Below are 25,335 nucleotides of genomic sequence, written 5' to 3'. Positions count from 1 at the left end.
ATAATAAGTAGGAACCCAATAAAATATAGTGAAAGAATAAAGGCATGAGGAACCCATTACTGAAGACATTGATTTCACCCCCACATAAACCTAGTTTAATATTCCAAAAAGTAAATACAGATCAGAAAAGTGAGGTAAAAACTACATGCACGAAAGGGATGAGTAATTAAAGAAAGTCTTAATATTAAGTTTAATAATACAGACTCATTCAAACTCCTTTTCTAAATAAATCTTAAATTAATATTTAACTTTGCTTACATTTTCAAAGGTCAAATAGAAGCTCAACAGATATCATGTCCTAAAAACACAACGGTAAATAAATGTGTCAATTCGCTGTAGTGAATTCGCTCCTTTAGAACCAAAGCCCTAGTTTCCCCAGGTGCTGGGAGTGATGCCTGGCTCACAGCAGCGTCCTTCCCCAATAACTGCTTTCCGCAGAAAGGAGTGATCTCTCTGCACTGGTCCAGGAGTGGAAGACTATAAAGGCTAAGCCCTCTTGACTCAATCTAGGAAAATTCTGAAGGGCCATACCAACTCCAGAGCTCCCCCTGCAGATCAGCTAAGTCCTGTTTCAACTCTATCGCTCTTCACCTTCTCTCTCTGCCCAATTCTGTATTCTTCACTCTCTTCCTGGTGTTGCTCTGAAGAGCTCCACCTGATAAAACAGATGCATGCAAATATAAAATCTCAGAGTTGGCCTCTGGACCTTGGCATTGGTCTCCTTTCTAATTAATAATATTTTGAAACTGCACACACTGTAACAGGAAATTGAAAAATCTATGCCTGTTCTCATTATTTTGCCATCATTTTATTAAAATATTTTTCCTATCTGTCTCAAAAATCCTTATAATGCTTTCCTCTTTTTCCTCTATTACATCCTTGATCAAATTCTGATCATATCAAGAATGCAGGACACTGGCTTTTTCTTTTCTAGATGATAAAAATCATAATTTAATAAGGACAAAGAAATTTGAAAGGTCTTTGAATTCAGTTTTAGTTATAGTTTTTAAAAACCAGTAGACTGAACATTTTATTTAGTCCTCCAAATTAGCATTAGTCATTGCTATTCAAAAACGCCCTTGTCTGATAGTTCAGATTTGTATTTGCAGAAATTGGGCTACTATGAAAATTAAGTTTAAAAGAAATAAACCAGAAGTTATATCCAGAACACTGCTATATTTCTATTAGGGGCAATGTATATTTTTTAAAAAACATAAATAAACCCAATGTAGTGATTCCTGAAAGACCTAAACACAGAGCTACCATTTGACCCAGAAATCTCATTACTGGGTATACACCCAAAAGAATAGAAGTCATTCTGTTATAAAGACATGGGCATGAATACGTTCATTGCAACACTATTTACAATAGCAAAGGCACGGAATCGACCTAAGTGACCATGAGTGATAGACCGGATAAAGAAAATGTGATACATGTACACCATGAAATACTATACAGCCATTAAAAAGTACAAGGTAATGTCTTTTGTGAAGACATGGATGGAGCTGGAGGCCATTAACCTTAGCAAACGATTACAGGAACAGAAAACCAAATACCACATGTTCTCACTTGCAAGTGGGAGCTAAATGATGAGAACACATGGATGCATGGAAGGGAACAACACACACTGGGGACTATCGGAGGTTAGAGGCTGGGACAGGGGGGAGGATCAGGAAAAATAGCTAATGGGGACTAGGCTTAATATCTGGGTGACGAAATAATCTGTACAACACCCCTGTGACACAAGTTTACCTGTGTAACAACCCTGCACATGTATCCCCGAACTTAAAAGTTAAAAAAAAAAGGTTTGACAGGAAAAATAAAAAAGTTAATAGCTAAATATATATAATACTTAAAAGCAGAGCAAATAAAGGTCTAGAAAATCCCTCCAAAACCCGTAAATCTATTAATTTTAAAATGATTTATTATTTACTGACAGTTTATATCTACTATGTATCATACTGGGTACTTTTTATATACCTTTGCTAGACCTCTCAACAAACTGATATATATTTATATGCTATGTATTTATCAGTATTATACAAGGAAAAATAAGTGAGGTTCATGACTATTAAGTAACAAGGCAAGACTACATGTTTAATTAGTGGTAGTCTTGAAGCTCATTGGCCAAAGGCTGCCAGGGATTCATCTGTAGTCATACAATGTCAAATTTACTGAGCTTGCTGCAGCAAGGAAGAACACTCCACAGGCAAGTTTTAGGAGCTTCTGAATCTGAGGAAGCCAGGACAGGCTTTTTAAATAGGGTCTTGGGGCTTGGCTTAAGTGGCTTTAAGAAGGGTTGTGCAAAACAGAGTGGATTAAAAATGATAAACTGAGATAAGCAAAGGATATTTGCTGATCTCAGCTTATAAGCAGAATCTATTCACCGCCTTCTGCACACTTTACCTGTAAGGGAACTGAGGATGTTTGAAAGGCTGCACTCACTAAACGTCGCCCATCCTGAACCCTTCCGGTACCTTTTGCTGAAAATATATTATTTGACCTCATCATAGAAAAATGTAGCTTGGAAACAATTTAGAGTGCTCACGTTCACCAGTTCTCAAAATAATAAACTTTAGTTATGATGTAGATAGCTGGAACTAGCAGAAACTTCTGACAAAGATATATGTTTAGACAGGACATGAGCTCTGCATTTAATTTTTCTAGGTCATATAATCAGTATATATACACCTTTTTTTAATTTAAGAAAAATTATTTGAATTTTATATACATAGCTTACACCAAACTCAAGTTTGAAAATAAGTTGGATTCTTAAATGGGACTTTGTTTTTAAAGAAGATTTTTTTTCCTTGGAATATTATTTACTTAAATAGATTTCCGAAGCAAGAATTTCATTATTATCAATTTGCACATTTAAACAAAATAATATATCTAAGATTACTAATTAAACTAATAGTGAAATACATGTGTTCTTTTTTCAATCAACAATTCATGAACAAGGGCATAAATTTCAATGTCTGACATCCTGAAAATCATAAATTAAGACCTGCTGGTTTGTAAACATGTCACCAAGTAAAATCATCATTGTAAACTGTATAATTGGCAGTGAATTACAACTAGAATAATTTTGTAAAGTTTAAATATCACCACTGGCTTTACTTTTAATAAAACTGTTTTATAAATTATCTTTATTATTTGGAAAGATTAAAATATTTAATCTAACTATACCTGAAATTATTTCCTATTTTCATAACTATTATTTTATGAGATTTATAACTTTATTCACTTGATAAGCATTAATTGCACTTCGACTCTTGTCAGACCGTTATAGGGTTATAATAATGCACGAGACCAACTCCATCCCCGTTGTTCTGAAACTTACATTTTTTTCTGAATGATGCAAACAAAAAAAAAAAGCAAAATAGCTAAATATAATATAACATAGGAATTAGTGTCATAAAAAGTTAAGTCAGAGAAAAAGACACAGAATAAAGGGTAGAGTGGGCAGGGATACTCTTTCAGGTCACTTGGTCTTTTTCTATGTAGGTGCCATTTGCAGATGGTAATAAACTGAGAGTGAAGCATGCATGACTCTGCATCAAATGATCTCTCCTTCCCTGACTAGATTGCTGAACTGTTTTATGGTACTAATTAATATCTCATTATATATGTACCTATTTTATTATCTGCTCCCTTGGAATGTGAGCTTAAGGATGACAGAAGTTAAATCAGTCTTATTCATCATTATATCTTCAAAGAGAGTACTATACATATATCTAGTTTTACAGATGAGGCAGCAAAGGCCCTTTGGCAATCAAGTGCCTTAACCAAAATATCACACAACTTAATAAATAGGATGAGAAGTTAGGAAGAAGAACAGAAAGTATGTTAAGTGCTCATATGTGCCAGATATCATGGCAAGTACTTAATATTATTAATCCTCAAAGCAAGTGTAGCAAGCTGAGTAATGACCCCCTAAATATCAACATCTCAATCCTTAGAAACTGTGACTGCCACCATATAAGTAAAATGTGTACCATATAGGTAAAATGTGCAGATGTGATTTAGCTAAGCATCTGGAGATAAGGAGACTGTTCTGGATTGCCCACGTAGGCCTGGTGTAGTCACAGCAATTTTATAAGAGGGAGGCAGGAGAGCAGAAAGGAAGTGACTTTGGAAGCAAGAAATGGGCATGATGGGAGGAAGAAGCAGGAGCCAATGAAGACAGGTGGCCTCTAGAAGCTAGAAAAGGCAAGGAGATGGATAACCGACTAGAGTCTCTAGAAGGAAAAAGCCCTGTCAACACCTTGACTGTAGCCCAGTGGAAATGATTTTTGACTTCTGGCCTGTAGAAATATAAGATGATTCATTTTAATTTTGTGTTGTCATAAGCCACCAAGTTTGTGGTAATTTGTTATAGCAGCCAAAAGAAATTAATACAGCAGCCCAGATGGGGAACTCGGGTAAAGGTTAAATAATTTGTCCAACATTACAATACCTCTGTAGCAGAAAGTTAATGTTATTTTCCTGTATTCTCAGCCAAAGACTCAAGGCTGATAATACTCGGCAGAAATTGCCCCTATATTTTAGAGTGTCAAGTAGTTACAAGTAACCCTTATAGTATTTAATCAAAGATTGCAGGGTAAGTCTTTTGACACTCATACCCACAACCCATCCAGACTAAGTAAGGCCAGGTCTAGAGGGGTTTACGTATAGAGAGAATTCATTTGGATTGTTGGCTTGTCAGACCAGAGGAGAGTAATGGGGAATGGAAGCTTTTTCTCTCCCAAGGCAATGTAACCTTAGAAAAGCATGCAGAGAGACTGGCAGTGGTTTTAAAAGATGTAGACTGTTTCTCACACCATGGTTGAATGTTTATGAGCCACAGATTCTCAGTCTCATCTTGGGGCATTTCTTAGAGGAGAACACTAGACAGTGCTTAACCGAGTCCTCTAAAGGGTGGATGCATTTATGCATATGAAAGCTTAGACCTCTTTACTGCATGGAATCTTCTATGGGTGAGAATGTGGCTTGAGCAGCCCACTACTGCACAGGAACGTGTAGGGAAAAGAATAAAGGGACTTGCACTTCCACCATTGGAGCTGGCAAAGGTGCATGGGCCAATAGAGGCAGAATAACATAGCCCAGCTTAAGTCTTTTTGAATGTACCCTAAGAAAGAGGGAAGCCTACCAAAAGGAGAGTCTCCAGGGCCTGACACCCATGTGACAATAGTGTGCATTGTAGAGGTCCCTACAAGAACTCTTTAAATATTCACATACATACCTTACCTAAGCAATCATATATGAATGCTGCCAGGCAACAAAAACAAAGGCCTAACTATAAAAATAGGGGGAAGGAAGACATTTGTATCTCTTCCACCAACTCTCCTTTCTCACCTCATTCTAGAAGGAGGTAGAAAAATAAAGAAAAGGATGATGGAAAGTGAAAAAAAATGTCAATATGCCTTTTGTCACTAGAAGCCTTTGAGCCACGGATCAATCTTGAGTTGTGCAGAAGAGAGAAACTTTGAATGGAATTAGAGTTTGGAGCTCTGATTTAGATTGGAAAGAACATCTGAATAACAGAGAGTGAGTCATAATGATTGAAAAGAAAATAGAAGTGACTTGAAAGTTATGGGATGCTCATAATGTGCTATCAGGGGGTGGAAAGATTTTGAAGAGTTCATGAAAAATAAAGGGGCTTCTTGAAAACATTTTTAAGTTTAGCTCACTCAATAACCAGTTAACCTTGTAAGGTATGGAATGGAGAAGCTGGGGCTTGAGAACAGACGTCTAATATTTTTGTCAAGTTTTCTACACCATAATTGGTTTCTACTCCTCCTAGAAATCATCTTAATATTAAAATATAATCTCTTATGGATTTTACTTCCAGTGAATGTGGCTTTCTAATACATTGTACAATGTACTGATTTTAGTAGTCATCCATCACTTCTCTTCCTGCCTTAAAGAAACCATATGAACTTTACACTTCCTCAGTAGGATGTTTCTCTTTTTCTTACTAACTTATCCTTTCATTTTCAGGTTTGCCTAACTTACCACACTTTGTTCTTCCTCGGAAATTTGCCCATTTTTTATATGGTAGCCAAGAAGGAGAGAGATAAAATTATAAGGAATTAAAAGATTTGTTTCCAGGAAAAAAAAGATTAGGTTACCTTTATTAACCTGGGGACAATTTCAGTGTAACCTTTAGGATTTATGATTAAAATGAAAAGAATGAAGAAGATAAAACAAAAATAAACAAGAAAACAAAAAACTGGGGAACATTATTTTGTCTAAGTGGTTTCTTGAATAATTCAAGGTGTCTTGAATATCAACCAATCAAGAGACTGTCAATTTGAATAACTCAATTCTGCTAGTAGAAAACAAATAAATAAAAATGAGAGAGAGAGAAAAAAAATCTGTGTTCAGTTATTAAACAGCCTAATTACATTTATGAGATAATTAATGAAGCCCCTCTTGAGACAAATTAAAGCACAAAACATTAGTAAAGCTGCCAAGCTTGTCCAACCCAGGGCCCGTGGGTCGCATGCAGCCCAGGACAGCTTTGCATGCAGCCCAACACTAATTTGTAAACTTTCTCAAAACATTATGAGATTTATGCATGGACCTTTTTCTTTTTTTAAGCTCATCAGATATTGTTAGTGTTAGTGTATTTCATATGATGTGGCCCAAGACAATTCTTCCTCCAGTGTGGCCCAAGGAAGCAAAAGATTGTACACCCCTGTCAATTATACAAATTTTCTTTGGAAGAGTGAAAGCTCTCTTCTTTGTCCCTACTGCTTGAAAATTGCTAAGACTCTACGTTTCTCAATTTTCTGTTTCATACCATGAAGCTTAACACTATGGTATTTAAACTGACATATATTAAGTATAAGCCTGGATGGCTCCTTCTATTCTACTTAAACATTGTAAAATATATGTGTCTATCAAAAATGTTTCAGCCTACTATGTATGTATTATTACAGTATTTAATGGTCGTATTCTTTCCCTTCTTACAAAACAAGCAGTTAGTTATATAGTTACAAATTGTCAAATCTAGTTGGCATATTAGCGCTTGTCTAGATTATACTCCCCTCATGGTGGAAGTCGGTTGTGCAAGATTTCTCACCTAATCACTTGTAGAACTTGAATCAGTGAGCAATTCCACTGAGTGTTAACTCCTATCCAGTTCATCCACACTCTCTGAATAGCATTTTTTCTTTCTAAGCTCCAAACAGCACATATATTTGCCATCCCCACCCAAATAATACAAGATAAATTGTGGGACAAAATATTATTTGCTATTTCCTATTTTCAAAATGCAAAACCATGTTGTTTTGTGAAGTGCCTTTTCTCCTCTTTTTTTGCCTCCTCATTTCTGTGGCTCTAATCCTTAATACTTTTAATTACTCATGCATTTGAACAACTTTGAAGTGGAAACTGCTACCTGGGACCTGGGGAATCAGTTTTAAGAGAACAGCACAAAAAGTAGGAAGATGACAAACCGGAGAACATGGATACAGTAGTTTGACCCATTTTCCAGTCACTCAATGTTACCTTATAAGGGTTTGCTCTATTTTATGCCAAATTAAGTGCGCATGACAGCATAAAAATAAAATAATTCTCATCAAGTTTCCATAATCATTTCCGAATGAAATAGGGAAGACTAAAGCTCTTTAACAATAGACTCAAAATGTAATGGCTCAGAAAAATAGACATTTGTTTCATTCTATGCCATAGTCTAAGGCAGTGCTCCCCAAAGTAGGATCCCTGTAGCCATAACCTGGGAGCTGTTAGAAATAAAAATTCTTCAGCTCCACCCTCTATCTGTTGAGTCAGAAACTGATACTGAAGGCCAACAATCTGTGTTTAAACAAACCTTCCTGGGTGATTCTGATGTAAGTCAAAGTTTGAAGTTCACAGAGCAATCAATCCAGAAAAATGTGTGTGCACAAGGATGAGAAGGAGGTTGTCTCTACTCCATAGAGTCATTCAAAGACCCAAGCTGACTGAATCTCTGTCATCTTCAACATGCCCCCATGAAAAAGGAAAGTATAAGTATATGTGGGACGTTTTCTAGGACAGTTACAGTGCTTCTTTATAAGAAATTCAGCACATGGTCACAGATCCCTGCAAGGGAGGGTGAAAAATGTAATAGAGTTTAAAAATAACATGCCCATCTACTGTAAAAGAAAGCAGAAAGGATTTTGGTAGTCAGCTGATAGTCTCTGCAATGATGACATAATTATCTGTGGATGATCAAGTCTGCTGGTCATGTGTTGTATTTCTTTGTTTTCTTACATTCTCATTGTTTTTGCTTTAATTTGGGTACTTGCTTTAATTCTGGCATTGGTCAAGTATACTGCATAAAGAGAGCTGATGAGTAAGCTGATGAGGTAACAAGGTCTATTAGTCTGTTGGTGTTGCTAAAAAGGAATACCTGAGACTGGGTCATTTTTTTTTTAAAGAAGTTTATTTGGCTCATGTTTCTACAGGCTGTACAAGAAGCATGGTGCCCGTATCTGCTTCTGGTGAGGGCTTCAGCCTTCTTCCATGCCTGGTGAAAGGTGAAAGGGAGCCAGTAGCATGTTCAGAGATCACATGGTGAGAGAGGAAGCAAGGGAGAGGGAAGCGAGGTTGCAGACATCTTTTCACAAGCAGCACAGGGGCCGTGGGGCCTGGGGGACTGAGAGAGGACTCACTCATTACCACAAGGAAGGCACCAAGCCATTCATGAGGGATCCACCCCTATGACCCAACACTTCCCTTTAGGCCCCACCTCCAACATTGGATATCAAATTTCAACATAAGGTTTAGAGGCTCAAATATCCAAAGTATAGCAGAGGGTAGTTCAAAAAAGAGGAAACACTGTCAGATGTTGCTGAGAAATCAATTAAATGGAGACTAAAAATGTGCCTTGGATTTGGCAAAATGGAGGTCATTGATGACTGTAGGAAGGAATGTTCCATAAAATAATGCTATAGAACCATGTTGGCATGGAGTGTCTTAGTAATTAGAGAACAGAGACAAAAAAGTGTAATTTTTTGTTTTTTTTTGAGATGGAGTCTCGCTGTGTCACCCACGGTGGAGTGCAGTGGCGCAATCTTGGCACACTGCAACTTCCACCTCTCCAGTTCAAGCAATTCTTCCTGCCTCAACCTCCCGAGTAGTTGGGATTACAGGCACCCACCACCACACCCAGCTAATTTTTGTTTTTTTTTGTTTTTGTTTTTTTTTAGTAGAGACAGGGTTTCACCATGTTGGCTAGGCTGGTCTTGAACTCCTGACCTAGGAGGTGTTCAAGGTCTTGAACACCTGCCTTGGTCTCCCAAAGTCCTGGGATTACAGGTGTCAGCCACCATGCCCAGCCATAAATAATTTTTAAAAGATTATCTACAGAGTGGAGGACAGATAGGGCTGTAAGTACAGGAAGATATGGGATAGGGGCCTGAAGATTAATATATTTGATGGAAAATATTAGTTGAGAAATTGTAGTTGAATACTCCAGAAAAAGAAGTTGGCTACTATTCCTGAGAAAGTATAATGGAGCACAAACATACCAATGGGAAGGATGATGGAATGTAACAGGAAGTCAGGAGACATTCACAGATGTGGAGAAAATTGAAGCAATCATTGGGAAAATTGAGACAAAGTTTATAGAGTAACACAGATGGATTGCTGAGCAGTAATAAAGAACTATTTGAAGTTACCTTGCACAAATCTACACAAAACCATTACAATTGCACATTCAAGTTCAGTGGATTGCTATATTAACTTGGATGTCAAAAAGCCCTAAAATTACATCTATTGTAGTTTCTGTTAATTTTTTTGTTTTATAAAACATTTTACTGGCCAAGATTAGAAAAACTATAATTTTATTCTGCCTAATCCTGCTTAATTAATCATTGTTAGGAATGCTTTAGTCAGTAGGTTTATGATAAATACCAAACTGTATAAATTAGTAACTCTCCCAAGGCTTCAAAATTAACACTCTTGTAAGAGGTTTTAATAACATGACATCATTTCTCTTTTATTGGAATTACAAAAAATTCTAAAAAGAAACTCATCAAATAAGCCAATGCTTCCTGTTTATTAAAAATAATTAAGAAAATTGAGTACACATATTAACATTCAGGTTTTTTTCCCAGGATGAAAAACAACATGCATTTCTCAATCATTAAACATATTATTTCAAAAATCAAGTCTCTAGGTGCTTACAGATTGTGAGCTGGGCACTTATCTAATGCTGTGCTTTCACCCTAGCAGTGGGACTTCTTTAGACTTCTGAATGTGTCATGCACTTTGCTAAAGCTCACCATGTTGCTCTGAAAAGTTGAGTCAAGCCTAGGTATTCTCTGAGAGCAGATTCAGAGATTCTAACTACTGCTTGAGACTTAAGATTCACCACTTACCTACAGGTTGAGTAATCCAGGATGCCCTACCTCTCAAAGCACAATACTCTAAAATCATATAGAGATTATCTTGATAATTCATTGTCAATACATTCACATACAGTTTCCAACATTTATTAGGAATTGAAATACTTAATTTGATCCATTAAACTGTATTTGCATGGACCATGTTGCTTATCTTTCTAAGTAGGCATATAACCTATTTTTGAAAATAATTTTATCATGGTTGGTGGTTAACAGAGGTTTTCAAATAACATGGGTCTCCTTTGAGTCATTTTTGATAAAGGCATATGTAATTATCTTTGCTACCTGAGATCTCTGTGATTTGTATCTAGTTCTTTTTCTACCTGGTTTCTACCTTTAAAGGTGGGTATCATGAGAGGACATATTTATGGTTGGCCTTTATAGGAACATTTTCCCACCTCTTCAGCAGATGTGAGAACACAAATGGGCTTTATCAAATTAGATTGTCATAATTTTTACAAATTTATATTGGATGATTTGTTTTTTGATTTATGCAAAGCAAAGCCTGGTTTCATCTGACTGTGAATGTTGAAGAACTTTGTAGAATTATCAGTGCTTTCTAGAAGTGGTATAATTTTTAAAATGTTTTTTACTGTCTCAACTACAATAAAGGAATCCAGGAAAGACCACAGAATCCGAAGAACTATCAGTTCTTTATCCATTTAGATAAATAGTTTAATTTCTATAAGTGAATAATACTTTTAAATAATTTCAACATATATAATGCTGTGGTCAACAAGTTAAATATCCCACCCTCAAAAAAACATTAAAGAAAACAAAATGAAAGAAATACAGGCGGATGGTAATTTGGCATAATTGCATTCCATTTTTGTGGAATTGCATTCCACATTAATTTCATTTTTATATTCCTCGCCATTAGTGAAGATGGATTATGTATTTATCCACGTAACCAATTATTATTTTGCAATTATATTTAAAAGTTTAGTAACAGGTTTCTCTATTGATTATATACTAAATTTTAGTTGTTGCTGCATAACAAGAGAGCAAAAATGTCTATTTTCAGGTTCACATCCTTACTGTCTTAGTTGACAATGCTAGGTTCATGAATAATTGGTATTTTTATTACTTCTCTGATCACTTACTCATTCAGCAAGTAGTTATTAAGCTTCCTATCATTTGAGAAGCATTTTATAAGGATTGTGGATACATACAGGAAAAAAATAGACAAGAGCTCTGCCTTCATGAAACTGATATTCTGGAGAAAGCCTTGAAGTAAACAAATTAATATATATTTGGTGATGAAAACTGGAAAAGAAAATAAAGCAGAACAAGAAAGCTAGAAAACACTGGGTTTATTTTATACAGGACACTCAGGGAAGATCTCTGATATGGTAACATCCGAGCAAAGACCTGAGCAGGTGACTTAATTGAGGACATTTTGAGGAAAAAGAATTACACTGGAGTGCATTCAAGGAAGTTCAGAAAGGCCAATGAGACAGAAGCAGAGTAAGTAAGAGGGTGATACAGGTATGGCCAGATGGTTAGCAGCATCAGATAGGGCAATTAGGGATTATAGGCCATGGTAAGGACTTTGACTCCTACTCTAATTAAGGTGAAGGCCCACTGTAAGAGCTGAGTGGGGAAAAGACATGCTCTGATTAAGTTATAAAAGGATCATTATTATGGCTTATCTGTGGAGTATATTCTTCAGAGGGATGAGTGAAAGCAGGGAAGCCAGTTAGGAGGATATTTTAATAATCCAAGTAAAATATATTGGTGACTTGGACAAAAAAGAGGTGGGATACTTAGAAACATAGTAGGTATATTTTGAACATGAGTCGGCAGAATTTGCTGATGGGTGGTTGTGGGTATGAGAAAAATGTATGAGAAAAGAGTCAGTGATGACTATTCCCTATCTTCCAGCTAGTGGAAATTGGAAGAATAGCATTTCGACTTATTTGTATAAGCAAGAGTGCAAAATGTGAAAGTGAGGTGGGTGGGGGCTGGAGTTTGGTTTTAGATATGGTTAGTATGACTAATGTAGACTGACATTATTTAGAATTACAAATGTAAAATAGATAATTGAATATATGAACTTGGACTTAATTGGAGAGTACCACAGTAGAGATAAATTTCAGAGTTATCAGTGAATGGATGGCTTTTTAAAGACAGATTTTATTAGCTGAGATCATCAAGGGAATGAGTGTACATTGAAAAAAAAAAATGATGTTAGGGCCAAGGACTGAGCCCTTCGACATTTAAGGATTAAAGTTGGAGAAATGAGGGAAAGCCACTTAGAGAGACTAAAAGGAAACCAGTAAGTTGATAAAGCACCCCGAAGAGAGTGATAACCTTAAAGAAAAAGGGGGGCATTATCAACCAGGTCTAATATTGATATATTAAGAAGGAGAGGGACTAAGAATGGGTCATCAAAAGTGCGACTGGTAAGTCACTGCCTCCCTTAAAAAAAATCACAAATAAATCCACATTATTTTATTTTTGTTATTAGTGTACTTGCAGTCTTGATGTATTTCACCTTAGTTTTCCCTCTAATTTAACATTCCTTATATTTTGATGCTAAATTATTTTCTATTAAAAATGCAAACAAAATATTTAATATCTCATATTTTGATGCTAAATTATTTTCTAATAAAAATGCAAATAAAATATTTAATATCTCTTTTCTTATTCCCAGATCTATTATTTGGTATTACATTTTGCTTTGGAATATAAAATCGGCAGCAACATTTTAAACATTTCATACTTGTGGTCTGTATTAAATGGAAAAGAAAGTTTTACTAGCAAGCGAAGTATCACTTATTGGAGTTTTACTCTAAAGTTAGTTGTTCATGTCAAGGAGTCATAGTCCCTGATAGATTGAGTCAGTTATCTTTATTAATTTATGGCTGAATAATGCTTGGAGTTAACTTTTGTATTAGACCATCCTCACCTTAAGTGAATGATAAATTATACACTAAAACACAATATAATAACATTTACAGTACTAGCAAGATATCTTTGAGGTAAAAACACCTAAACCATACATCTCATTACATAATACAAAACACTTTACCCAATATTGTCACATGAATTCATAAAATAATTAACATCAAGTTTTTTATTCCTTCATAAAAATACCATATACTTGTTGAATTTTTACTAGAGTACAATGTGTTTTTACAGCTATACTATATATAGTATACCCATACTGTATTATATGTATATCATGATACTGTATTTTTATTTGCAGCACTTATCAAAATTATGACTACACAAAGTTTTGTATAATTATGCAAATTCTTCATAGATCATATACTCACGCAATTCAAAACATTCATGCAGTTTAAAGTTTCCAACCTACCGTGGGTGCCTTCCAATAAAATTCACCCACCTCTATCCGTGACTTGCATTTACCATCATAGTTAATTATTAATGTCAAATTTTTAGCATATATACACACATACACGCACACACACACAAACATACTTTGCTTATCAAGCAAATACAAATAGGATTCTTATTTTCTACCTTTTTTTTACATACAGGTTGTTTTTAGATGCATTGTCCTATACTTTTTACTTAACAGTGTACTCATAAAATAATATAAAGCTTTTTGTATTACTTCATAAAATAATAGTACTATATATTTGTTGAGTTTTTACTAGAGCACAATGTACTTTTATAGCTATGCCATGTACTGTATATGGTATATTCATACACCTATGGCGTTTCAGGTGTATTAACTATTATTGAGTACCTACTGTGTTTTGGGTGTTGTTCTAATAATTGGATATACAACAGAACACTGTAGTTTAAAAACTCCTGCCTTTGTGGCATTTACCTTCTAACATGAGATAGCTTGAAGATATTGTTGTTGTTAGGGTTTTTGTTTGCAGTTTGTTTTTTCTGTACTTACCATTTCGTTGAAAAGATGGTTCATAATTTAGGTAACACTTACTGCTATTACCAATAATTAAACTGTCACATTTATAGTTTTAGCATGGCTTTAGAGATAACTGTAGAGTAAATGTTCCACAGTGGGATGCCTAGATTAGAGGTATTTGAATTATAACTTTTGTACATTTTATCAAATTGTCATCCATAGGATATATAAGATGCTTCTATCTATTCTTCATTTATGGAATATTTTTATCAAGAATGATTGCATAAATTTCCTGATGTGGAGTTCATTCTCACATTGTTATGCAGAAAATCCTATAGAATCCACAAAAAAGCTATTAGACAAATAAGTGAGGTTAGTAAGTTTTCAGGATCATATTGTCTGTGGATAAAGACAGTTTTATTTATTCTTTATCCTTCTGGATGCCTATTATGTATTGATTGCCTTATAGCACTGGAAAGAACCTGCAGTACAATTTTGATGCAAACCAAGCCCAGACAAAATCATCACAAGAAAACAATCTAACAATATCACTTCATGAATATAGATATACATATTATAAACAAATCAAATCTTACAATATAAAGAAGATCATACATCATGATCAAATAGGTTTATCCCAGGAATGCAAGGTTGGTATTTGAAACCAATTAATGTAATACACCAATATTAACTAAACACAAACTCGTATGGGAATAAAAAATTTTTTTGAAAACAATTTAAATTCCATTACTAATAAAAATCTTCTTAAAACTAGGGATACCTGTATAAGGGAAGCTCCTTAACCTAAGTAACAGCATCATTGAAAAACCTAAAGCTAACATTATGCTTAATAGCAAAAGACTAAATGCCTTTCCTTTAAGTATAGGAAAAAGACAATGCTGATTGAGACATGAAAGACTTGGAAAGAACTTCAAAATAGTTTTTTTTTGTTTGTTTCCACTTCCCAAAATTTCTCGTCTTCATTATTTGTGTCTAGAATTTCATATTTTTGATGCTACTGAAAATTTTAATTTCTAATTGTTTATTATTAGTATATAGAAATGAAATAAAATATTTGTATGCTAATGTATCCTGCAACCTAACTTATTGAATATATAGGCATATATATATTCATAATATTCTCTTATTTTTTAATTTTTCAAGAATTTTACTGATACAGCATTTCTCATTCTTGATATTGGGAATTTGTGTCTTCTGTATATTTTTTTCTTTTCAGTCTTGCTAGAGATTTACCAGTGATATTGACAATCTCACAGAACATGATTTTAGGTTTATTAATTTCGTGTATTCCTTTCTGCTTTGTACTTCATCAATTTGTGCTCTGATCTTTATTTTTTTTTCATTTACTTCGACTTTGCATCTCTTATTTTTCTAGTTTTAAAAAGTGGAATTTGAAGTCATTTATTAAAAACTTTTTTTAAAAATTTTAAGTTCAGAGGTACATGTGCAGGTTTGTTGCATAGGTTAACTTTGTCATAGGGGTTTGTTTCATCACCCAGGTTTTAGGCCTAGTACCCATTAGTTGTTTTTCTTGATTGTGTCCCTCCTCCTAGCCCACAGTGTGTGTTGTTCCCCTCTATGTGTCTATTTGTTCTCATTATTTAGCTCCCACTTATAAGTGAGCATGTGGTATTTGGTTTTCTGTTCTTGTATTAGTTTGCTAGGGATATGGCCTCCAGCTCCATCCATGCCCCTGCAAAGGACATGATCTTGTTCTTTCTTGTGGCTGCAGAGTATTCCATGGAGTATATGTACCACATTTTCTTTATCCAGTCTACCATTGATGGACATTTAGGTTAAGTCCATGTCTTTGCTATTGTAAATAGTGCTGCAATGAACATATGAATGCCTGTGTCTTTATAATATAATGATTTATATTCCTTTGAGTATATATCTAGTAATGGGATTGCTGGGTTGAATGGTATTTCTCTCTTAGGAATCACCATACTGTCTTCCACAAAGGCTGAACTAATTCATACTTCCACCAACAGGATATAAGTGTTCCTTTTCCTCCACAACCTTGCCAGCATCTTTTATTTTTTGACTTTTCTGTAGTTGCCATTCTGACTGGTGTTAGATGGTATTTCATTGTGGTTTTGATTTGCATTTCTCTAATGATCAGTGATGTTGAGCTTTTTTTATATGGTTGTTGGCCTCATGTATGTCTTCTTTTGGAAAGTGTCTGTTCATGTCATCTGCCCACATTTTTATGGGGTTGGGATTTTTCCTTATAAATTTGTTTAAGTTCCTTTTAGATCCTGTATATTAGACCTTTGTCAGATGTACAGTTTGCAAAAATGTTCCTCCATTCTGTAGGTCATCTATTTACTCCATTTATAGTTTCATTTGCTGTGCAGAAACTCTTTAGTTTAATTAGAACCCATTTGTCAATGTTTGCTTCTGTTGCCATTGCTTTTGGCTTCTTTGTCATGAAATCTTTGCCCAAGCCTGTGTCCTCAATGGTATTGCCTGTGTTGTCTTCTTCCAGGGTTTTTATAGTCATGGGTTACATTTAAGTATTGAATCCCTCTTGTGTTAATTTTTGTATGTGGAGTAAGGAAGGGGTCCAGTTTCAATCTTCTGCATATGGCTAGCCAGTTGTCCCAGCACCATTTATTGAATAGGGAATCCTTTCCCCGTTGCTTGTTTTCGTTAGGTTTGTTGAACATCAGATAGGTGTATGGTCATATTTCTAGGTTCTCTATTCTGTTCCATTGGTCTATGTGTCTGTTCTTGTATGAGTACCATGCTGTTTTGGTTACTGTAGACCTGTAGTATAGTTTGAAGTCAGGTAACGTGATGCCTCCAGCTTTGCTCTTTTTGCTTAGGATTGCCTTGGCTATTTGGGCTCTTTTTTGTTCCATATGAATTTTAAAATAGTTTTTTCTAGTTCTGTGAAAAATGTCAATATAATGGAAATAACATTGAATCTATAAGTTACTTTGGGCAGTATGGTCATTTTAACGATATGGATTCTTTTTATCCTTGAGCATGTAATATGTTTTCATTTGTTTGTGTCCTCTCTCATTTATTTGAGCAGTGGTTTGTAGTTCTCCTCGTAGAGATCTTTCACCTCCCTAGTTAGCTGTATTCCTAGGTATTTTATTCTTTTTGTGGTAATTGTGAATGTGAGTTTGTTGGTGATTTGGCCCTTAGCTTGACTGTTGGTGTATAGGAATGCTAGCAATTTTTTTACACATTGATTTTGTATCCTGAGACTTTGCTGAAGTTGCTTATCAGCTTAAGAAGATTTGGGCTAAGATGATAGGGTTTCCTGGGTGAAAGATCATGTCATCCGCAAACAGGGTCAATCGTGTGTGTGTGTGTGTGTGTGTGTGTGTGTGTGTGTGTGTGTGTGTGCTGAATTGCATCCCTCCAAAATTCATATGTTGAAGTCTTAACCCCTAGCACCACTTCAGAATGGGATGGTAATTGGAGATGGGGTCTTTAGAAATGTGATTAAATGAGTAGGCCCTAATCCCATATAACTGGTGTCCTTATAAGAAGAAGAGATTATGACTCAGTAAATACAGAGGGAAGAGCACGGGGAGAACAAGGTGGCTATTTACAACCTAAAGAGAATGTCTCAGGAGAAACCAACCCTGCTAATGCCTTAAACTTTTAACCTCTAGAATGATGAGAAAATAAATTTCTGTTGTTTAACTCAGGTTGTGGAACTTTGTTATGGCAACCCTAGCAAACTTATCTATCTATTTATCTATCTATCATCTATTTACCTACTCTATTTTTTATGTGTAACTATGTAGAGATGTATACTGATATATTTGGTTAAAAAGTATAAAATTTGTTACTTTAAATATAGACAGCTTATTTTATATCACTTGTACTTCAGTAAACCCACTTATTTTCCTTAAATTTGTGCAATATACTTGTGAAAAGGCATAGAATTTATTGTAACTGTCACTATCATTTATTCAATATAAGAGATAGAAATTATAGATAAGTATATTAATTTATCATATTTGCTATATATGCAACTTTTGAGAGTCATCAACAGAACAAAGAAAGCATAAATACCTGTTCTTTTTTCTGAGATGCTTTTTGTTTGGGCTTATGCTGTTGTTTTAGCTAGTAATTTATGTCTGTAGTTTCTTGGGAATTTAGAAATGGAAAAGACAAACACTTTTTTTCTTCCTGTCTCAGGAATGGAAATTTAAAATATGTAGGTAACTTTCCTAATTCAATCATTTTAGAATAAGACTTTTCAAAATGAATTTAAAAAATTAAAAATTATTACCACTATTAATTCATAATCCTGTTTTACCTGTGGTATAATGTAGACATATAGTTTTTGGTTTGGGATTTTTAATTTTTTAATATCTTTAGTCAATTTTGAGGTTCTGGTTAGAGACTGGTCAATTGCCCTTTCTCGGAGCCTGATTTCTTCCACACTCCAACCACTTCCTTAATCAGGTTCTCATACTGTGGGTCATTATGCACAAGCCCTAATTGCCCCAGGCCAAATCCCAGACAATTAGGCACAGCATTATAACCAACCAGAAGGCAGTCTGAGAAACCTAGCTAACCCCACCTTGCTTGCCATGGATACCCTAAATAGCTGCCTCCTACAGCTCTCTTTTGCTGCTACCCTGTCCCTGAGTGCAATTCCCTATATGGCCCTGCCTGGCAGCCTTCTCTTATTAATAGCTGAAAGTAATAAGAAATTCTGCCTTTCATGTATTTGAGTGACAGTGTGTTGTATCCTTCCATCAAAATAATCCTTAAATCTTATAAAACAATTTGCACTGTGAGCAGATAGCATGGCCGTGACTGCTGACTCTTGGATAGCTTTTCAAGAGGCTGCTCTTGGCTTACTAATTGGTTCCAGACCTCTATGAGAGTGACTTGGACAGAACTGGAGCTTGTGCTTTAGCCCTGTTGCCTGCTGCTGTGTCTGTCTGTGTTTGCCATGTATCCCCACATCGCTCAGAATATTCTAATGAACAGTGCTAACAGATTAAACTCTGGAGGCTCAATAAAAGCCTTGGTGGGGGCCCACCCCATGGATATGGGAGTGATGGGCCGCTAAAACTGCACTTTCTGGCGTTGGGCATTCTATCCTCTTTCTAGTCACTGTGTTCAACAGAGGCTGACCCCAGATGCCCTTACCTCTTTGTTTCCTTTTTTATTACATATACCAGAAATAAAATTCTAAGCCCACTAACTGACTGACAGACCATCTCCATGGCCAACAGCATTCCAAAGTTAACCTGAAACACTAGTTCAGGGCCACGATGGGAAGTAAGGGCTGGACATGCCTCATTATACTCTCCTCCCTTTGAAATTCAGGCACAACTGACCAGCATTGACATTAAAACAGAGACCCTATGACTGATAGAACAGACTCTTTCAGTCTGATCGGAAACATTTTCAATCTATTCTCTCTGAAGCCTGCTACCTGATGACTTTACCTGCGCAATAGGAACCTTGATCTCAACAAACCCTTATCTTAATGCAGTCACTTTCTTCTACTCCAGATCTTTAGATAAACTCTTTCAACCAATTGCCAATCAGAAAATCTTTGAATCTACCTATGACCTGGAAGCCCCCACCACTTCAAGTTGTCCCACCTTTCCAGACCAAACTAATGTACATCTTACATGTATTGATTGATTTCTTCTGTCTCCCTAAAATGTTTAAAACCAAGCTGTAGCACAACTGCCCTGCATATGTTGTCAGGACTTCCTGATGCTGTGTCACAGGCATGCCCTTAACCTTGGCAAAATAAACTTCTAAATTGATTGAGACTTGTTTCGGATACTTTTTATTGTATAATCATTAATTAGGGCAGAATGATGATTTGTCCATGTGTTTCAGGCAACCTTTGTGAAAAAAGATGTTGGCTGGGGTCCCCCATGGTAAAGAAATGGCACCCCTGTCTCATAGTCAGTGTTGCTCTGGTCGGGTAGCCGTCGACCTGCCTTCTTTGCTGCATATTTTGTTGCTGTTTTTAGGGAACTTCAAGTTCCCCAGATCCTCAGGAATATCATGGGCTGCCCCGTTGGATACCAGCCATTCAATGTTTAACCCAGAGAGGCTGTCTGTGGCAAGGAAACAAATATCTCACCCCAGCAACCCCCTTCTGAACACCTGCAAAAGTTACCCAGTTGCTTAAATGATGCAAGGCCCCTAGCCAGTGTGATTGGGCTTTAGTAAGTGCCCCTGCAGGTCAACATGCAAAGGGAAAAAACTTAAAGGAACTTATTGCCTGTCCCAAGGACAGGTGACTGCAGCTCTCAAGTGAAATCCCATTCTTTCACAGGTAGACTGGGAAGCCTTAGGATGAAGAATGGCTGCCTACAAGGCAGACCACTGGGCCGCTTCCCCAACTCCTTTCCTGTAACCACCCAGGTTTGAATTATGAACTATTAGATACAGATGGAAACTAAAAACCATGACTTCAGGAGGCTAGAAGCCCAAAACAGAGGAGAAATAATGGAATAAAGAGAAAACTTTGATATAGGAGAAGAAATTTAAAAATAAATAGTATGTGTATATATACACATATTTATTTACTTATATAACTCTGTATATATACGTATACACACAAAAAAATTTGTACATAAATTAACCTAATTAGAAATCCAAAAATCTGCTAAAATATTTTTTATAACACTAATATGAAATGTGTACTGATTGGGCTTTTCTGTCTGTAAAAGATAGGTTCTAACTTAACTTTAAGATCTGCTAAAATACACCAAACGACAAAGCTTTACAGACTTAATCAGACTGGGTCTCAACTTAGAGTTTTACTCAGGGATCTTGCTAAATTTAAACATAATACTTCCGATATTCTTGGGAGAGTAACTAAATATAAAATAGAGCCTGGTCCAGTAGTACATGCCTGTAGTCCCAATTAATCAGGAGGCTGAGGAGGATCACGGTTGTAGTGAGCTATGATTGCACCTGTGAATAGCCACTGCACGCCAGCCTTGGCAACATAATGAGACCGCCATCTCTTAAACAAACAAACAAACAAACAAAAACTTAAAAAAATTTTAAATAGAGAAAAAATAGGTATTCTTTACTTTACTTATAGGGTTTTCTAAATTCCATTTGGAGCATATGTGTTCTGATACAATGAGCAATGCATTAAAATTAAATAAAGTTTTTGGCACTGAAAAATAAGCCTGAGAAACAAGACCCTGTGGGCCCCCTTACTAAAACAGTTAAGATGTTCCAATGTAAATTTTAAAAGGACCTTCAGGAATTCAAACTTATTTGTATAAAATTTAACTAATATTTGCAAACCTCAAAAAAAATAAATAAAGACAGACGCCTCAGGGTGGTTTATTACAATGCTGCGGTTTCATCTGTTGTGATCCTCATGCGTAATACCTAAATTATTAAAATTACATCATTTAACTAATAACCAGTAAATACTTTGCTATTATAGATTTTGCTAATATTTAACTTTGGTGGCTATTTCAATGGCCTCTTGACTGTATTTTGCCTTTATCTCCAAGGAAAAAAGTATGCTTTTCCTAGTTCGCCTTATAGGGCACCTCAACAGTGTTGCCATTGCATGCAATCTTTGCAGACAAGAGCTTAACTGCACCCACCTTTCTCCAGCAGCACAGGTTTGATATTAAGTTGATAACATCTTCCCCTAAGGAGTTTTATTTGACATACTCATTATAAACATAAACTTTCAACATCTTTTAGTTCTTTTTTTCATTCTGGAGGCAATATATTCCCATTTACAAATTCTACTTAATGTCTCTGATACTGCTGTTTCCAAATAAGCTCACCTTAATTGGGGATCACTCAAATAAAAGGCTCTAAATTCTTTCCAACTTAAATTTAGCTGATCCTGCAGAGGCCTGTGACTATAAAGGGTGTGTCAAAGCCTTCATCAGGAGCTACCTTCTGAATCGCCACATCCTGATTCACATTGGAGAAAAGCCTTTTATTTGTGCAGCTAGTGGCTGTGATAAAAAAAAAAAAAAGAATCCCACAGAAAATCCAACTGGAAGAAACATTTTGCATGCAAACATGAAAATCTGCAAAAGCAATATGTATGCAATTTTGAAGGATGTAAGAAGACCTTTAAGAAGCATCAGCAGCTGAAAATCCATCAGTGCCAGCATGAAAATAAACCCCTATTCAAGTTTAACCTTGAAGGATGTGGAAAACACTTTGTTTCACCCTCCAGGCTGGGAGGACAGATGCAGGTTCATCAGAAAATTATATGTCAATAGGGATGTTCTTTTGTGGCAGAAACATGGACAGAGAGAAATCCATAGAAAGGAAATAACATGATGTATGCCAGAAAACATTCAAATGTGAAGATTATCTCAGATAACCTGTGAAAACTCATGCCTCAGAAAGAGATGTATGTCAACATCCAAGAGAAGACTGCAGAAGAACTGTATTTAATCTCCAGAGCTGTCTTCTTTCTTTTCATAAGGAGAAGCACCCATTTATGTGTGAACATGCTGGCTGTGGCAAAAGGTTGGCTATGAAACAAACTCTCACAAGACATGCTATTGTGTATGAGCTTGACAGGAAGAAAATAAAGATCAAAGTAAAGCTATCTTCTGAAAAATGAAATTTGGCCTCTCATCTCAGTAAAATATCCCTCGTAAGAGGAAACAAGAACGAGGTTTATCTTTGCATTGAAATGGAGAGTCATTGAATTGTATTGATCTCGACAGCTTTAATACTTACTCTCAGCTAAAAATCAAATTTCTTTGTTTGAAGGACTGCAGACCAATGAGCTCAGTTATTTTCCCTCAGAAGTATATTTTTTGTTATTAAAATCATTGATTTAGGAAAAAAAGAATGACAGACACTTGATAGATTCACTATAGAAGATTTAGCAACCTCCTTTCATGCCTCCTGAAGTCTCTGGACAACCTATGATGGCCATAGGTAGCCCATGGACTTTTAAAACAAGAAACTGACCTTCCTGACCCTGTGCTATATATAGCATTAGAGCAAAAAATGTTGGCCACATACTGGAACCTCCTGGAAATAGAGGCCCTTGCAGACCCTGAGCCTGTGATTCTCCATAACCAGTTGCCCATTATGCCTTGGATCATAAAAGCAGCATCCCAAAAACTCAGCACTGCTACTGAGGCCTCCTTAATATAATATGGAGCCGAACCTAGTCCCTCTGGATAATTAACCTGGAAGGGGTGGTCTCCACTGTCAATTCCTTGACAGATGCAATGGTGTTAAATGAAGTCACCTTTCCCTCAAACCCGTTGGCTATATGAAGAGCCCCTTGGGATTAACTGAGTGTTCAGCAATGGGAGTTTGTAGGCTGTATGGATGGCACTGTCACCATTGTAAGTGATAGAACTCACTGAAATTTTGTTGTTTTACTTCCTGACAAAAGGACAGAACCCCAGGGTCAGCATGATTGGCCGGACTTCAGGTAGTCATCTTAGCACTGGATGCCCTGGTCAGCAAATTGCCTCACAAGCAAATGTTCGCAAATTATTTGGTCATTGCCTAAGAGTTGTCCCTTCAGAATAAAGAACTCTGTGAATCCCTTGCTTCACAGATATCCAAAATATAAATAAAAATCGCACATATCTCTCTGTATACTAAGGCTGTAATATGAAGCTTTTCTAGGACACTCCTTTTTCCCCTTGGAGTTCCAGACATTAGTGGTAGTAATCAAAGCACACATTTCATTTCTCAGAATCACACCAGGCTCTCAAAGAAGGCATTCAATATAACTTTCATATCCCAAATATGTCCAAGAAAACTGGTTTAACTGTGAGGCCTAATGGGCTCCTCAAAGAACTTGTATTTAAGTTGCAAAATAACCAATTAACCCCTAAATGGATATCTCAGTCCTGCGCCAGGCATTAATATCTCTCAACTCAAGGCCCCTCAGCCAACTCACACCCACTTTAAACAAACCTTCTTTTGGTGTTTTACTCATGAAGTCTTTGCCCATGCCTATGTCCTGAATGGTATTGCCTAGGTTTTCTTCTAGGGTTTTTACGGTTTTAGGTCTTAGGTCTAAGTCTTTAATTCATCTTGAGTTAATTTTTATATAAGGTGTAAGGGAGGGGTCCAGTTTAAGTTTTCTACATATGGCTAGCCAGTTTCCCCAACACCATTTATTACATAGGGGATCCTTTCCCCATTGCTTGTTTTTGTCAGGTTTTCAAAGATCAGATGGTTGTCAATGTGTGGTGTTATTTCTGAGGTCTCTTTTCTGTTTCACTGGTCTATATATCTGTTTTGGTACCAGTACCATGCTGTTTTGGTTACGGTAGCATTGTAGTATAGTTTGAAGTCAGGTTGCACGATGCCTCCAGCTTTGTTCTTTTTGCTTAGGATTGTCTTGGCTATACAGGCTCTGTTTTGGTACCATATGAGATTTAAAGTAGTTTTTTCTAATTCTGTGAAGAAAGTCAATGATAGCTTGATGGAAATAGCATTGAATCTATATATTACTTTGGGCAGTATGGCCATTTTCATGATATTGATTCTTCCTATCCATGAGCATGGAATGTTTTTCCATTTGTTTGTGTCCTCTTTTATTTCCTTGAGCAGTGTTTTGTCGCTCTCCTTGAAGAGGTCCTTCACATCCCTTGTAAGTTGTCTTCCTAGGCATTTTATTCTCTTTGCAGCAATTGTGAATGGGAGTTCACTCATGATTTGGCTCTCTGTTTGTCTATTATTGGTGTATAGGAACCGGGATCTAATTAAACTAAAGAACTTCTGCATAGCAGAAGAAGCTATCATCAGAGTGAATAGGCAACCTATAGAATGGGAGAAAATTTTTATAATCTCTCCATCTGACAAAGGGCTAATATCCACAATCTGTAAGGAACTTAAACAAATTTATAAGAAAAAGACAAACAACCCCATCAAAAAGTGGGCAAAGGATATGAACAGACACTTCTCAAAAGGACATTTATGTGGCCAAAAACATATGAGAAAAAGTTCATCATCACTGGTCATTAGAGAAATGCAAATCAAAACCACAATGAGATACCATCTTACACCAGCTACAATGCCAATCATTAAAAAGTCAGGAAACAACAGATGTTGGAGAGGATGCAGAGAAATAGGAACGCTTTTACA

General features: G+C 36.0%; 1 pseudogene; it reads left to right on the top strand.

Moving 5' to 3' along the window:
* GTF3AP5 (general transcription factor IIIA pseudogene 5) lies at positions 22,108 to 23,053 on the top strand (annotated as a pseudogene).

This window comes from Homo sapiens, chromosome 7, assembly GCF_000001405.40.
Source record: "Homo sapiens chromosome 7, GRCh38.p14 Primary Assembly".
NCBI classification, from domain to species: domain Eukaryota; kingdom Metazoa; phylum Chordata; class Mammalia; order Primates; family Hominidae; genus Homo; species Homo sapiens.
The sequence above is the reverse complement of the archived record's forward strand: the minus strand, read 5'-3'. Positions and strand labels throughout refer to the sequence as shown.